Source organism: Homo sapiens, chromosome 1 (genome assembly GCF_000001405.40).
Source record: "Homo sapiens chromosome 1, GRCh38.p14 Primary Assembly".
Classification (NCBI taxonomy): domain Eukaryota; kingdom Metazoa; phylum Chordata; class Mammalia; order Primates; family Hominidae; genus Homo; species Homo sapiens.
In genome coordinates, this window is record NC_000001.11 from 116,442,134 (window position 1) to 116,458,940 (window position 16,807).

The 16,807-nt window shown below is 44.4% G+C and overlaps 1 long non-coding RNA gene across 2 annotated transcripts in view, besides 1 other annotated feature; it reads right to left on the reverse strand.

Annotated features, from left to right (window-relative positions):
• The window catches only part of LINC01762 (long intergenic non-protein coding RNA 1762), a 55,103-nt gene that overhangs the window by 18,410 nt on the left and 19,886 nt on the right, over nucleotides 1-16,807 (reverse strand). Inside the window, exons 3-4 of one of the 2 annotated variants that reach the window (NR_125973.1) lie at nucleotides 12,932-13,082; nucleotides 10,901-11,035 (exon numbers count right to left, since the gene is read on the reverse strand). The exons of the other annotated variant lie outside the window; for it this stretch is intronic. This is a non-coding gene — a long non-coding RNA (long intergenic non-protein coding RNA 1762). Of the gene's footprint in view, nucleotides 1-10,900; nucleotides 11,036-12,931; nucleotides 13,083-16,807 lie in introns of those variants that run through there. 2 annotated transcript variants of the gene reach the window in all.
• Nucleotides 835-1,036: a silencer, noted in NCBI's record as "fragment chr1:116985590-116985791 (GRCh37/hg19 assembly coordinates)". NCBI's record gives its function as "represses an EF-1alpha promoter that drives an FKBP-Casp9 reporter gene in an ReSE screen in K562 erythroleukemia cells {active_cell/tissue: K562}" and the evidence as "EXISTENCE:reporter gene assay evidence [ECO:0000049][PMID:32094911]".

Consider the following 16,807-nt stretch of genomic DNA (forward strand, 5'->3'; position numbering starts at 1 on the left):
GTCACTATGCAGCCTTTGAGACTGGTTTCTTGCACTCAGCATAATGCATTTGAGATTCATCTATGTTGTTGCATGTATTAATAGTTTATTCCTTTTTACTGCTGAGTAGTCCACTGTATATTCCAGTTTGTTTATATGTGCATCTGTTGAAGGAAATTTTGGTTGTTTCCAGTTTGGGAGACTATGAATAGAACTGCTATAAATATTTTTGTACAGGTTTTTGTAGGAACACAAATTTTCATTTCTCTAAAGTAAATACCCAGCAGCAGAATTACTGACTTGTACAATAAATTTATGCTTAAACTTTATAAGAAACTGCTAAACTGTTTTCCAGAATGGCTACATCATTTTTCATTCCCACTAGCAGCATATGACATTTTCTGTTACTCCACATCCTTGCTTATATTTCGTATTTTCATTTTATTTTTATTTTATCCGTATTAACAAATGTGTAATAGTATTTCATTGTGGTTTAATTTGCATTTCCCTAATAGCTAATTCCGTTTAACAGCTTTTCATGTGCTTAATTGCCATCTATATGTCCTCTTTGGGGAAGTGTCCATTTGAGTCTTTTGCCCTTTTTTTTCTTTTCTTTCTTTTTTCTTTTCTTTTTCTTTTTTTTTTTTTTTTTTTTTGAGACAGAGTTCTCACTCTGTTGCCCAGGCTGGAGTGCAGTGGAGGGATCTCACAGTAACCTCTGCCTCCTAGGTTCAAGGGATTCTCCTGCCTCAGCCTCCCCAGTAGCTGGGATTACAGGGGCGCATTACCACACCCGGTTAATTTTTGTATTTTTAGTACAGACAGGGTTTCACCATGTCGACCAGGCTTTTCTCAAACTCCTGACCTCAAGTGATCTGCCCACCTTGGCCTCTCAAAGTGCTGGGATTACAGGCGTGAGCTACCACGCCCAGCCAACTTTCTGATTCTTGATCCTCAAGGGATCTGCCCTCTTCAGTCTCCCAAAGTCCGGGGATTATAGTCATGAGCCACCACACCTGGCCCTGTTTGCTGTATTGTATCCATTTCTTCCACTTCTCTGCACTTAGAACCAGTTCTGTCTCTCTCCCTCTACTGCAGTATGCTCAAGGACCATGATCAGCTGACTCCTGGAGGTTTTCATTTATCAGATTGATGTACAACTCTGACAGGTAACCAGGAGGAATGAAGTCCAGCATGAATTTGGCCCCCATCAGATGTGTAGAAGAGCCAGGGGATGAGGGTCTAGAGAGGGAACAACTGATGAATAAAAAAGCTCCCCAAGAAAATTCACATGCTTGGTAGTATTCCTTTTAGCACCAGCTTTTTCTGCTCCTGGCTCCTGGGGAGAAAAATGTCTCCTGCTAGTTCTGAGGCAAACCCAGTGCCACTGGACTCCCAGGGACACAGGAATGTCACCCATGCTCATGGGCTTGATTGTGTTTCAATGGCATTCATATTTCCCTGTCTCCAAAGGTACCTTCTGTTGTACTTGTGTTCCAGCTGGAGCTCTGCTTATGAGACTCCTGGAAGTGGATGTCCTGTTGCCAGCCACATCTCGGAGGTTACTTACTACAGCAGGCGCACCATTCTCTGCCCATTTTCTTCCAAGCAAGGAAGCCCTCAGCCATTTAGCACTCATAATTGTCCTTTATACCTCAGTCTACCCATCCTTTTATTATTATTATTATTATTTTCTCTATTTAATTGCAACGAGAAATAGACAAAAACAACTATTCTTTTTCTCAATCACTTTACTTATTTTTGTTCAGTACTGAACAATTCTCAGCTATTATATTATTGATGTATCCCGCTGCCCATTCTCTTTCTTCTCTGTGAATTCTGGACAGTTTCTCACATGCCACTAGAAGCCCACACACAAGGGCCCTCTGCTTTTCTCTGCGGAAAGCCACTCAGTGCACACAGGAGCAACCCGACAGTGCAGGTCATGTGTGTCCTCAGGGTAGCCCTTTGCTTTGAAAAATGTGCAGAATGTCGGTGAATTATTTTTATTCTTTATGAGATACATGTAGAATTCAATGTTTATTTTGTCATTTCTTTCTTGAGATGCACATCAGCTTTGTGCATCTCAGAGTGAAAGCTCCCACAAGAGCTTCATCCACTGGTCCTATTTGTCCAATAACAAGATGGATGGAGAGTATAAAAAGATGCCTTGTGCTTATAGTAAAAATGATGTTGATGAACTAGGAAACACATGAAGACCTTCCCCTGCCACTCACCTCCATGTGATGAAGTTGGGGACATAGTTTGACGTGGGTCCCCCGGAAGGACCAGGGGATGTGGAAGTCCAAGATGAGACTCAAACTGGGTTCCCCTACCGCCTCCTCACACCTCAGTCCAGATAGAACAAGGGCAGCCTTGCTCAGAAGAACCTGGGGCTTCTACCAGAAAGTACTAGGAGGGAAGTGATGGAGCCAGAGGATGCAACTCATGTGGATGAGACCCATTTGGCCAATGCACAGCCGGAGAATGTGAGTGGAAGCTCATCCCTAGTGCGTAGGGGTGTGCAGTCAGCCACAGTCTTAGGCCCAACCCAGGCCCAGCCCAGCCCCAGCCCCACTGATGTCACTTTGGTGCTGGATTTGTGAGGACAAGGGAGACCAGATCCTGGCTGCCTTGCCTCTTTCTCCCTCCACTCTCCGTTGCCTCCCTGAGTCACTGCTCAGCAATAACCACTTCAAAGCGGAAGCTACAGCGGTCCCAACTCTGGGCTTGATGTCAGACTTGTCCAGTTCAGATGATGTAGACATTTGGACTGCCATCCTTTTGGCTTCAAGTCATTCGATTGGGCTTTTCTTCAGGACTTACACTCCCTTTACACATCCTAACTGCTCAGAGTGTGCTGAGAGAAATCATTTTTTCAGGAGTCAGTTGAGATGAGGGTTGGAGAGCAAGAGGGTTCAGTGTGTCCTCCGTGACCTGCTGTAATGTGACCAAGAGAAGGCCTTACCCAGAAGCAGGCAGAGGCAAGAAAGGGCACCCTGGGACGGGGCATGTGGGGCCATCATGCCCTCCTGTTCCTCTACAAGGTGGCCCCAGCCTTTGAGTTTGGACTAGGAGACCTGGCCCTTTTGGAAGCGGGAGGTTGGCACTATGGTTATTAAAAGTTGCCCTGTGTGCCTGCCATCCTACCTGACCTCAATCCCTTTGCTTTGGTTAATCCAGTCACTTGTCTCATCTTTAATACATGCTCCAAAAACCCTGTAATAAGTTCCTTTGGGAAACCTTGTGTTCCAGATGCCCAAGTAATTCTTTCAGTGTTCTGAGGGCCATAAAACGAGCAAACTGAGAGAGGGGCAGGCTAAAGATTCCTCTGAGTGTCAGGCGGATCTAGTTTCTTCTTTGACATCTCTTCTGTCTCAAAGCACATCTGCTTAACTTGCTGGCCACACATTGCTAAAGGAATCTGTGCTAGCTTTTTCTTACTCCATTTCTAGATTTTTTTTCCCCAGACCAACTCAACACATGAGAAGATTAAGCCAGTATCCAAGCTCAAGGCTGCACCCCTAACAGCCTGATGTGTATGTGGGCAAAAGTTCTAGAAAGAATAGCCAGTCCTCCCCTGCCCTGTTGTGACCTGTAGAAGACTCTTCATCAAAGCAATACCCCTAGCTGCACCTGACCCTGGGCGTGACCTCCAGCCCAATCCCAACAAGTACATATGGAGCCACAGGTCATAGTCAAAACATGCTGGGCTTCCTTCAGTGGCTGGCTGTGCATAGTCACAGAACAGAGCTGCAGAAAAAGGCCAATTTCTATCCATCTGAATTTTGACATTTGATTGCTATTCAATCTTGGGTCCAAACTACTCATAGCCTCAGTTTCTTCATATGAAGATGAGGAAACTTATCTCTCTAAATTTTGGTTTGCAGTGAGACACATGATCCAGTTTGAATCTTATTAATTAGTTGTGTGCCTGATTTTTACTTTTTATTTATCCTTAAGATTGCCCTCTCATTGTGGTTTTAATTTGCATTTCCCTGATAATTAGTGATGTTGAGCATTTTTTATATGCTTTTTGGCCATTTGTACATCTTTTGAGAACTGTCTATTCACATCTTTTGCCCACTTTTTGATGGGATTATCTGTTTTTTTCTTGCTGATTTGTTTGAGTTCCTTATAGATTCTGGATATTAGTCCTTTGTTGGATGCATAGTTTACAAATAATTTCTCCCACTCTGTGGGTTGTCTGTTTACTCTGCTGGTTATTTCTTTTGCTGTGAAGAAGCTTTTTAGTTTAATTGGGTCCCATCTATTTATTTTTGTTTTTGTTGCATTTGCTTTTGGGTTCTTGGGCATAAACTTGGAGGAACTTTGGAAATCTCAAATTGCGGACAGTAGGTCCTGGGACCTGTAGGCCTTAACAGATGCCCAGGTGACTTCAATGGCCGGCCAGGTTTGGAAATCACAGGTTTCCAGGCTCACAGCCCAACTCCTTTACCTGGCATAGAAGGCTCTCCGTGATCCTGCTCCCCCTGCCTTCCAATCCTATTTCATTTCATGCCTCTTTCCTAACAGTTTATGGAATTTTGTGGCCCAACAGTGCTGAAAGCCAACAGTGTTCACACACATGATGTTATTTCACCTCTCTGCTTTAAGATACAGTCATGCATCACATGATGTTTGGGTCAATGATGGAACATATATACGATGGGGGTCCCATAAGATTATAATAGATAGAAAAATTCCTATCCCCTAGCGATGACATAGCCATGCTAAGTTCAATGCATTACTCATATGTTTGTGGTGATGCATGATGCATGACACAACATGCCATGTCATTGGGTTCAAATGGTAAAAGTGAGTTTGGGGAGGCCATTGACAGCTAAGGGCCGTCAGCTCATCAAAGGGAAAAAACAAAAATTCCTAGTATCTAAGTCTTAACACAGGATATTTTGAGCTTCCCTTTGAGTTAACCTTTATAGGGTATAAACAAGCATACCACATTGCCAGTTGTATAGAAGAATAGTCCATATAACTACATAGAGTGCATAATACTTGATAATGATAAAAATGATTATGTTACTAGTTTATGTATTTACAATACTGTATGTTTTATTGTTAGAGTGTATTCCTTCTATTTATTTAAAAAAAAGAAGGTTAACTGTAAAACAGCCCCAGGCAGGTCCTTCAGGAGGGATTGCAGAAGAAGGCATTGCCTTATAGGAGATGACGGCTCCAGGCCTGTTATTGCCCCTGAATACCTTCCAGTGGGACAAGATGTGGAGGTGGGAGAGAGTGATATTGATGATCCTGACCCTGTCTAGGCCTAGGCTAATATGTGTGCTGCGTCTATACTTTTGATAAAAGGGTTTAAAAAGTTAAAAAAATTAATAGAAAAACTTATGCAATAAGGATATAAAGAAAGAAAATATTTTTATATAGCTGTACAATGTATTCGTGTTTTAAGGCTAAGTGTTACTACAAAAGAGTCAAGGTTTTTTAAAAATGTAAAAGTTTATAAAGTAAAACATAACAGTAAGCTAAGGTTAATTTATTATTGAAGAAAAAATATTTCTTAAATAAATGTAGTGGAGCCTAAGTGTACAGTGTTTATAAAGTCTACAGTACTGTAATGTCCTAGGTCTTCACATTCACACACCACACACTCACTGACCTGCCCACGGCAACTTCCAGTCCTGCAAGCTCCATTCATGGTAAGTGCTCTATGTAAGGGCACCATTTTTTATCTTTTATACCATATTCTTACTGTACATTTTCTTTGTTTAGGTATGTTTAGCTACACAAATCCCATTGCATTACAATTGCCTACAGTATTCAGCATGGCAATGCTCACAGACTCAAGTTGTACCTTTCAGAATACTGTTGTGTTATGATACCAAATACTGTAGGCAATTGTAGCACAGTGGTTAAGTATTTGTGGGTAGCCTAGGTGTGTAGAAGGCTATACCGTCGAAGTTTGTCTAAGTGTATTCTATGATGTTCACACAATGATAAAATCGCCTAATGACGTATTTCTCAGAATGTGTCCCATCATTAAGCAACATGTAACTATACTTCCCCTTCTTCCCACAATGGCCTCTTCTAACTTATCCCCTGAAAAATTCCCATTTGTCCTTTCAGCTCCAGCTCAGACACCAAAGAGTTTTTGCAGAATTTTTCCACTTATATAAAGTTCAAAACAGGCAAAACTAACCTATGCTTTAGTAGTCAGGAGAATGGTTACCCCTTGATGAGGGTGGCAGGTGCTAGTCATGTTTCTTGATCTGGGTGCTAGTTACACAGTTTTACTCCAGTTTTTGAAAATTGATCAACTGTGCACTCATGACATGTGCAGTTTTTGTACAACCAGTTCAGATGACACTTCCTCCAGGAAGCCTTTGTGGATACCTCCCTTAGAGTTAATTCTGCTCCTTTCCTGTTGCTGCTCTGCCTAGTTCTATCTTCTTTTCGGGTATTTAACACTCTGAATTACAATTCCTTTATTGACATGTCTGCCTCTCCATCTAAACTGGGAGCTACTTGAGTACAGGATCTGAGAATCCCCAGCACCTGCCAGCATTCTCCCACATGCTCAATAGATGAGAAGGACTGAATGAAGGAGCAAAGAGAGGAAGAAAGCATGAGCTTGGGTGCAATGGCACTTGCTCCTTTTATCTTTCTTCTTATCAAGAATACACGATATGGTGCTACTGAGCTGTTTTTAACCAACCAGGGCAAGAAATGTAAACAGTCTCCCTTACTGTCCCTCTTGTGCCTGAGAAGGATTGCCTGTGCCCCCACAGCTGGGGATCTGGCCTCTGCAGCTCCTGGGGTGCTCAGCTGGGCTCTCAGTCCACCAAGCCGGTAGCCGCTCCTCTGATCTCATCTCTTGTGTAAACGCCACAGTCCAGAAGGCTTCCCATGGGATCACCGAGTTGGCATCTCCTCACTGTCTTCTATTATTGCTTAGCTGGAGAAAACATTTCACTGCTCCAGGCGAATCATAACAATAACAAAAAAATTTTTTAAGGGCTTATAGGACTAGGAGGGGTTCCTGTGGCCACTTCAGAGCTAAAAGCAGACTCACCACTTGGCAACTGGAATGCCACTCCCTACCTGCATCCTCCTCTACCTTCAGTCCTCCCTGTGTCGCCTCAGGTCCCACTTCCTGCAGGTACCCCAGGCTTTTTCCCTCTCTTTCTAACTAGCAAGACCAGCTGCTGGGACAATGGCCACCTATAACTCAGTGTACACGAATATAACTAAGTCTGAAGTAGCTCTGGTGTGGTGAAAAGAGCTCTGGGCTTGGAACCATAAACTCCAGGTCTCAGTTCTATCACTGTCACCTACTGCCTTGGAGCAAGTCACTCCAACTCTCTTGACCTTGCTCTCCTTTTATATAAACCAAGACATAAACAGGGTATATCGCCTATGGATTGCTAGGAGCATTCACAGTGAGATGGGGAAGCGCAAATACTTCCATACTGCTGTAAACTTCCATGCAAATATGAATAGTATTACAGGTCACATGGATGGAAGGGCACCTTTTCAAGGGGTAGTTGCACTTTAAATCTCACATCCTGAAGGAATTTCCAACATCATTGACTGAGGTGGGGAGAAATTGTGGGTCAGATGACTTTCTGATAAGAGCACTCCAAGACAAAAGGAAATAGAAGTATGTGGAAGGTCATTCACCTCCTTTAGGGAGCTGTATTTCCACATCCTGAGCATCCTGTCTCACTGGTTTTCAACAAGCCTGTCCCTAAGGTCAGAGGAGCCCTTCACTATGTAGTGGCTATTCTCCAAGACATAGTTGAAGCTCCAGCCTCAGTGGCCAACACTGATGGCCCACCCATGCCTGCTGCTCCTCTAAAGAACTGCTAAAATTCCCTGCACACACCTTCACACACACAGGTGCAGAAGCCAAATCAGATGGGTAGTAAAACACACCTTCATCTGTCAACATGCCATGTCATTGGATTCAAATGGTAAAAGTGAGTTTGGGGAGGCCATTGACAGCTAAGGGCCTTCAGCTCATCAAAGGGAAAAAACAAAAATTCCTAGTATCTAATCTAAGTCTTAACACAGGCTATTTTGAGCTTCCCTTTGAGTTAACCTTTAAGGGTGTATATGCCCAAGGAATCCTAGGTGAAACTGTAGTGCAATTGCATAGGAATATCTGACGGAGAGAGGGCTGAAACACATTCCTGTGATGTTAGCAAGTTTGTTCCCAGAGCGTCTAAAGGGGAAGCAGAAGATATTCATCCTCAGATGCTCACAGCCACTGACAAAGCACCCAGCAACATGGTGGCAATGAGAATGGCATTGCTGTTTGATGGGCTTGGGATGGAATCCTGGCTCTGTCATTTACTCAGCATGGGACCTGGTGACCCTTGGAAAAGTTAGAGTCAGGTGCCACCAACTCAGTTTCCTCAATTATACAATAGTAATTAAAATGCCCACCTCATAGTGGTACTTCGTGAATGAAAGAAAGATGATGCATGCAGAGTGCTTACCAGTGACTGGCAGGTAAAAACTCACTAAATGGTAGCTGTTTTAATATTGTGCTTCAGAACTAACTTTCTAGTAAGTGGCCCTTTACATAAGGACCCAAATGAACATAAGCATAAGTTAAATTCCATTTTCATCCTCCAAATATCTGTTAGCAAAGGAAGCGGGGACATCTAGGCAAAACGTGGATTAAAGAATGTCGTTTCTTATCACTTCATTTAGGTCATGGTACAAGCTGAAGGTAAAAAGTATCTATAGGGGTGCATTCTGATAGCCTGTCATTCTCACCTAAGCAAATCAGATCCTCCCAAGTGGGGGAAGAACAGAACTTCCAAAGATGGTCCCAGTCTAAGCCACCCACACCAAGTAAAGAGACATTCTAAAGTTGCAGCCAATCCTGAGAAATAGCCACATTGGCTATCTCTTATGGGGCCACCTGGTATCATCTTGATTCTTAATGAGAATGACCGGTCATTCAGGGACTGGGCTCCCCATGCATAGGTAACCCCCCAAACTTCTAAAATCATCTCGCTAAAAGAGAACTGAACTCTTATATTTCAACCACAGCATAGGCACCTAATCCCACCTACCAAATTATAATCATTTTGCATCAGCCATTTCCATACTTGTGGCCTGTAAGTTTCAATTACTTTAGGGGACAGTCAAGTAACAAAGAAGGAGAGTTTCTTTATAAGAAGGCCTCCATTATGGAGCTTCTGTCTCAGAAAAGCAGTCATCCTGCCAAGACCCTACTAGAGCATATAGTTCATAAATGTTTATTGAGCAGTTGACTGATTCATTGATTCATAAATGTAGTTATTCAACAAATGCATACTGGGCACTTACTTCTGCAAGGCTCAAAGGCCAGAGATGATTAAGAGACAGTCCCTGATCTAAAGAAACTCAAAATCTAATGGAAGAGTATAAAAAAGCTGACAATAATATTAGGAAGAACAAAATACATACTCCAGATGAGCTGCAAGTGAATTGCTGTGAAAGCTCAGCGGGAGGAGCAGTTTCCCGGCATAGAGAAAACACTCAATAAGATGCTGGTAAATGAAGGCTGATGGAGCTGGTGAGCGCTTGGCTACTGGTGAAATACTGGCTCCCAGACATGCTCTGCAAAGCAGCCTCATCTTGGCCCACTCCACTTCTGCACCACCTCTGCCCACCACAGACCCCCACCTGAGGCCCTGTGATGGGCTCTGACCTTAGCAGAGCTGGCCTGATTCCTTGCAGCATTCTGAGCTCTTCCTCTCTCTATTGAATGCAGGCCAAGCATTGATCTTCCAGCATCATCAACATGCCACATCACTTTGCAAAACCTGCATCTTACAGGCTAAGCTAATAACCCCCAAGGGATCTTAGGCAGGAGGCTCAGGTTGCAGAAAAATTGGTTCAGTTCTGAGCCCTGTTGTGACTAATATTTTCTACCTTCTATTAAATGAGGATCTTATCAATCTGGGGGCTTCTTTTGCTCTGCATAGGAAATTGAATAGAGAGAAGTACAAGACAGCAAAAAGGGGAAGGAGTGAAACACATAGCAGCATCGGGAATTTTGTCAAGAGACATAGAAGTGCCCAGCAGTTGACAGTTTCTCTGTTGTACAAATAGAAGCAGCCTGTTGACTTAATACAATAAAATCCCAGGGGCACTCTGTGATGTTTCATAATCATGTCTGGGACTTGCAGTTTTGAGATTTGCAAAGCTTTATTCTAATGGCAAAGTGGAACCAAAGCAGACCCTTTGAAAGAGGTGACCTCAGCAGCCCTGTGGGTCAGGGGAGCAGGGTGTGGCCCAGGGGACCTTGGGAAGGGTCCCCTCAAGGCATCGGCACAAGGCAGAGGAAGGGTCAGGGTCTGTAGGGGAAGGTCTGGATTTGGGTCCTGGCTCTCTACAAACCAGACATAAAACCTTAGATAAATCACTTCACCTTTGTGAACCTCAGCCTTCTCAGTGCAGTGGTATTGACATTAACAACTAATTGATCACAAGCAGTTACAGATTTATTTGTTCCTTCTCCACTCCCACTCCTTCACTTGACTATCCTTGGAAACAAAGTGGGAGTAGGCCGGACGCGGTGGCTTATACCTGTAATCCCAGTGCTTTGGGAGGCCGAGGCGGGTGGATCCCTTGAGGTCAGGAGCTCAAGACCATCCTGGCCAACATGGTGAAACCCCATCTCCACTAAAAATATTTAAAAATTAGCCAGGCATGGTGGTGGGGGCCTGTAATCCCAGCTACTAGGGAGGCTGAGGCAGGAGAATCGCTTGAACTGGGGAGGGGAAGTTCAGTGAGCCGAGATCACACCACTGCACTCCAGCCTGGGCGACAGAGCGAGACTCCATCTTAAAAGAAAAAAAAAATAGGAGTAATAAGATCTCTGACAGGATGGTTCAGAGATGTAAACACTGTGAAGTCATTTTCCAAAAGACAGAAATCAGCGCAATGAGGATTTAAACACAGTGAATTTATTGGCCAAAACCATAGATATAGATAGGGTTAGCAAACATGAAGAAACAAGTTTTTCTTTTCTTCATTTTTTGAGAATTGACTATTTGTCATCTCTTGAGACTTCAAGTTCCTAAAATGGCAATTAAGTATAATTATAATGACCATTTATTGAGTGCATGCTCTGTGCCCCACAAGCCCTGTGTTAACTTCTCCATAGGTATTAACTCATGTAATCCTCACAACATTCCTATGAGATAGGAATTTCACAGATAAATAAAGAGTTAGAGAGGTAAGTAATTTTCCCAAAGTTACACAATTAGAGGCAGAGGCCAGATTTGGACCCAGAGCTAAATCTTCTTCTGGGCTAGTTTTGATTTTAAAAACAGAGGCAAGAAGATGGCCCATTCTGAACCAGTGTCACTTTCCTAGGCCATAAAGAACAGAGTCCTGAAGTCTCTCATTTCCTTACCCTCTTCCTGGGACTTTTACCAGAGTAAGAACAGAGAAAAACCAAAGCTTGAAGCTTACAGGTTCCAGCCCTTCACTGATGCCATTGCCCGCTGCTACCCTGGCAGCAGGCAATAATAGTAATTGTCATTCCAGGAGCCACATTTATTGAGCAGTTGCTAGCTATGCTCAGCATTCAACCCTCATCTCATTTAACCTGTTTGTCCTGCTCTAGAACTTCCCCTACTTTACAAGTGAGTAAACAGATCAGATCAAGAGAGATTGAAATTCCACGTTCTGAGTCTTATAATGTAAAGTGGCATGGCCCCTCTTGTTTCTGCTGTATTCACTTGAGACTCAGAGCCCATTAATTCTGTAAATGTTGCTTATGCAGCCCACTCGATGCCAACGCTAACAGCCAGTGGAAGGAAGCTGGTTTCTGGAAACTCACCACAGGCAGCCTGCACCTGTCTTTCCAAATTGCTTTGAGATGAGCTGAATTCGGACCCCTCCCCCTGGTGTGGTGATGGTAGTGGGAGATCGGAATGGAAGAGAAGGAAGGCTGAACAGTTTCCTCCCACCTAGGAGTGGGGTGCACCACAGCAGTGCAGACTGAGGAGCCCCACGCAGTGCTTTCAGGCCAGAGCAGGCTCTCTTCCCTCAGGACAGACTCACTCCGCAGCAGATTCCTGAGATTCCACATGGCTCTATGGTGAGGCCTTATCCTGCTGACCTCTCAGCCCAGGCTGCCCAGGGGCAACCACCCACCACTCCCAGAAGGAGCCCTGTCTCAGTCAAGGCCTCTGAGCTCACTCTGCTTGGCTGCTTGCTAGGGCTAAAGCCTCAGTGTGGTCAAACAGTGTAGGAGATATGGAGGGTGAGAGAGGGAGAAAAGAAGAAGCGGAAGGAAGGGGAAGAAGAAGAAAGGGAAGGAGGGAAGGAAAGGACTTTGGAAGGGGTGCAGAAGGGAAGGGAGGTCAGGCAGAAAAAACAGAAGCCACATGTTGATGTCCAGTCTCCCTGCCCAGACAGGGCAAGAGAACAGGCCCCCGCCATGTATCTCTGAGGCCCAAGCTGGACATGAGGACACGTAGGCCTGGTCTTGGGGTGGAAACTCCCGCAGTTCCAGAGGGGTGAGATGTTAATACAGTCAGAACTGAAACTAGAAGGCCTGGACCAAAGCACCAGGTGTAGACAGGGAAGGACACGAGGCTCAAGCCAAGATTCAAGGCAGTGGGTAGGGGGATGACATGCAGCAGCCTGGGTGAGGGGAGGGTGGAGAGGCAGAAGGAGGTTGAGACAGAAACTTTCCCTGAGAGACTCCTCCAGTGGAACCTGGGGCTGGACAGGCCTGTATCCTGAGTGGGACGGAGCAGGTTGTCTCACTGTCCCTTCCTGTTCCTGCCCCCTTCCCTCCTCAGAGCAGTCCACCTGGGCCAGCTCAAAAGCAGAGTCACAAGTGGGCACCTGATTCCTTCCTCCCTGTGCTGAATGAGAAGGATGCTTTAGCCCTCCTTATCCATTCTGCAGGAATGCATGCAGAGGTGCCTTCCTGGGTGCAGCCCCACTTACCACTTACCAGAGCTTGCTTGTAAGTCCTCCCTGAACTGTTGCCTGCCCCGAAGGGACATCAGAGCCATGCTGATACAGCCACAGCACCAGTGCCATTGCAGATGACCTCGTGTTTTATCTCATGCCCAGGCTCAATCAAACAGAGACACAGTAAGTTCCTGAAGTGATGGGAACACGTACAGAACAGCACTCAGAGCTCCAGGAGCTAGTTATTTTCATCAAAACAAACAATCCTTGTTTACTACCCACAGGACAAGGCCTGGTCTTGAGAAGGCCTCCTTCCCTCCCGCCCACCCTCAGCATACAGATACACCCTCCCTCTCCACCTCCGTGCTGGTGTGCTGGCATGCTGGCGTGGGTCCGAAACCCACATGGGGACCTGGCTGCCTGAGATCCCTCCACCCCACACTGCCTCCCATGGGCGCCAACCTTTTCAAGCCCCTAACCATTCCCACCAAAATTAACCCAAGCTTCCCTGAGCCCAACTGGGAGTTTCCAGAGGGGAAATAATATTAACTAGCTGAGCTCCCACTAGACTCCGGACATTGGAATAGCTTTACAAGTGTTCTATCTTCAGTCCTTACAGCAGCTCTTTGGGGAGTTGTGTCAGGAGGAACCTAAAGCTCAGAGAGGTTAAATACTACACCCAAGATCACACAGCAAAAAGCACCAGTGCCAATATCTCAAAGTATTTTTTTTTCACTCAGCTAGTCCAATTTTTAACATTTTTCTGAAGTCTAAACTAAGTTAGACGGGGATGGACTTTATTCAACTTTGTATGCCCTAGAGCTGGCCTACTGCTCAGTAGGTAAGAGGTAGAACCTCAATGTTGAATTAACGAATAGATGAATAAATGAATGAATAAGAGACAATGCATATGTTGAAATGAACCTTGATGATGATAAATGAAGATGTTAGTCTTCTCAGATAACATCCTTATGTATTTGTATGCTAAGGACAATTCTGAAGCAATGGTCCTATTTTAGTTTGTGTCTTCCTTACCAGTTCTTAAAAAGTGGGCTTGGGCTGGGTACAGTGGCTCATGCCTGTAATCCCAGCACTTTGGGAGGCCAAGCTGGGAGGATTGCTTGAGCCTAGGCGTTCGAGAATAGCCTGGGCAATATAGTGAGATTCCACCTCTACAAAAAAAAATTTTTTTAATTAACCAGGCATGGTGGTATGTGCCTTTAGTCCCAGCTACTTGAGAGGCTGAGGTGGGAGGATCACTTGAGCCCAGGAGGTTGAGGTTGCAGTGAGCGGTGATCGTGCCACTGCACACCAGCCTGGGCAACAGAGCAAGATCTTGTCTCTTTAAAAATAAACCAAAAAACAACAAACTGAAGCCTGTTCAGAGGAAAATATCAGCATTAAAAGGAGCCCACATTGATATATCAGGAAGAATTATTGTTGATACTGTTAGAGAACAGAACATTCTGTGTCCAAATATTTGAAAGCTGGGTAAGGGTGTGTGGAAGAGGAAGAGGTTCTAATTCCTGTTCTCTCCATGAGAACTAGGATCAGGCCAGGCGGGGTGGCTCACATCTGTAATCCCAACACTTTGGGAAGCTGAGGCTGGAGGATCCCTTGAACACAGCAGTTCAAGATCAGCCTGGGCAACATAGTGAGTAAGACCCTGACTCTATTTTTTAAAAATTATTTTAAAAAATAAAAAAAGGAGTAGGATCAAAAAGTGAAAATGTGGTGGGGCTGATCTATCATGAACATATTTGATTTCAGGCATTCATTCAACAGATTTTTGGGGGGCACCTCCTGCAAGTGAGGCACAATTGAAGGTGTCTAAAGAAGAAATCTTATCTAAATTGCGATGCCTCTAAGAAAAATTACACAAAATTTACTAGGGGCTTTTCTTAGGGCCTTGAAAAAGATCTATATGAGTAAGGGGCCCTGAAGTTTAGACTATCACTTTCACAGTCAGTTCGCCTCTACCCTGTGCACTTCCTCCCTCATCAGTAATCCTTAAATTTTATTATTTATGCTTTCATCAAAAACAAGCAACTATATGTATTTATATCCCCCTTTTCTTAAATAAAAATAAAATACTATACTTGTTTTCCAACTTGAGTTAATATAGCCTCTAGATAGCTTATAGCAGTATATATAATTATTCCTCATTTCTTTTTATAGCTGCATAATATTCCATTATGTGGATATACCATTGTTTATTCAACTATTTCCCTGTTGATGAACATTTCATTACTTTCTAATCTTTTACTGCTAAACAATAATCCAGTGAATGACTTGGAGTGTCATCTTCTTAATATTTGTGCCATCAAATCTTTTGGATGGATTACTAGCTGTGGGATTGCCAAAGGGTCAATACATACGTAATTCTGTTAGATATTGCCAAATTCCTTTCCATGGGGGTTGTAGCTGAGGCCTCTCTTAATACCAGCCTCTCCCGCCACCTGCTGCTGCTTCATGCACTGCCCATAAAGTGTGGCCCACAACCACCTCCAGAGTGGCCAGTATCTAGGGAACACTCTGAGAAGAGGGAGAATCACAGAATCACACAGTGGCGGGTTGGGAAGGGCCCTGAGGTGGAGACACCTAGATTACAGGGGCATTGCTAAACTACTGCCATCCAAGGCTGCCTGGAGTCAACAGGCTTTGAGGATCTATCTCTGAGTTGGGAGATGATTAGTAACAATGTAACATCAATAATGATCTGAAAGATAATTATTATCAGCTTAATAATAATCTGAAAGATCAGATGGAACAGAGGAGTACTGGAATTGCAGGTAGCTGTGCTCGATGTGCCTCATGCCCACTGGGGCCTCCAGACCCCAGGGCCAGAAGAAAAGGGCCTCAGCTCTTCAGGGAGAGATCCTGTCCACCCTCTCAGTGTGTGTTCACACTCAAAACTATAAGGTCAGTAAGTTGGACAGCAGCTTCCCAGGACTTAGCTTATTTATAGCACAAACTATAAATATGACCCCCTCCCCAGCCCACCCCTCCCTTGTGAAAATGGTGTAAAGAGAACAATGCAGCAGGACGGGCCATGTTGCCATCTGTGACTCTCTTCCTACAACAAATGCTTCACAGCTGCACGTCACCTGCCAGCTCCGTCAGCGCGCTGGTGTACTTGAGCTGACGGCATTCAGGGTGCAGCTGGGGCAGGGCCAGTGGAATCCCAACCCTCTGTTAGGAAGGAAACCTCATCCCTTCTCAGGAATAGCTTGACAACAGGACAGCCCTCAGAGGTCACCCCAAATGCTCCTGAGAGAATAAAGAACCATTCCATGACCAAAGAGACTGTACCATGAGGCAGTGCAGGCAACGCTGGGCATCCCCAGCAGGTACCTCAGTCCTTCCAGAGTGTGCAGCAACATAAGGCTCTTTTTAAAGCTTTTACACCACACAGTACAGCTGGGAGCAACACATTCCCACTCCAGCACAGAGGCATGTGAAATAGACCCATCAGAAACTGAGAGCAAGTACATTTCAAATTTGCCTCTCCACTTGGAAAACTTGGAGGACAAATTTTATGTCCACATTTTGTCACTGATTCTATTATTTCCAGGTCAATATTATTGTTTTTAAATGATTAGGATCACACTCATTTCTTTTTTCTTTTTTTTTTCTTTTACTTTAAGTTCTAGGGTACGTGTGCACAAAGTGCAGGTTTGTTACCTATGTGTACATGTGCCATGTTGGTGTGCTGCACCCATTAACTCGTCATTTACATTAGGTATATCTCCTAATGCTATCCCTCCCCCCTCCCCATACCCCACACACTCATTTCTTTGTAATTGTTCCAGGCCGTCAGGGGCTTTGTTCTTCTCTGCCCTTCTTAACTTAGCAGCCAGCCCTCTCTCCCTGCACTCGAGCATTTGCAATCTGTCTGCGGCTCGAAAGAAAAGCC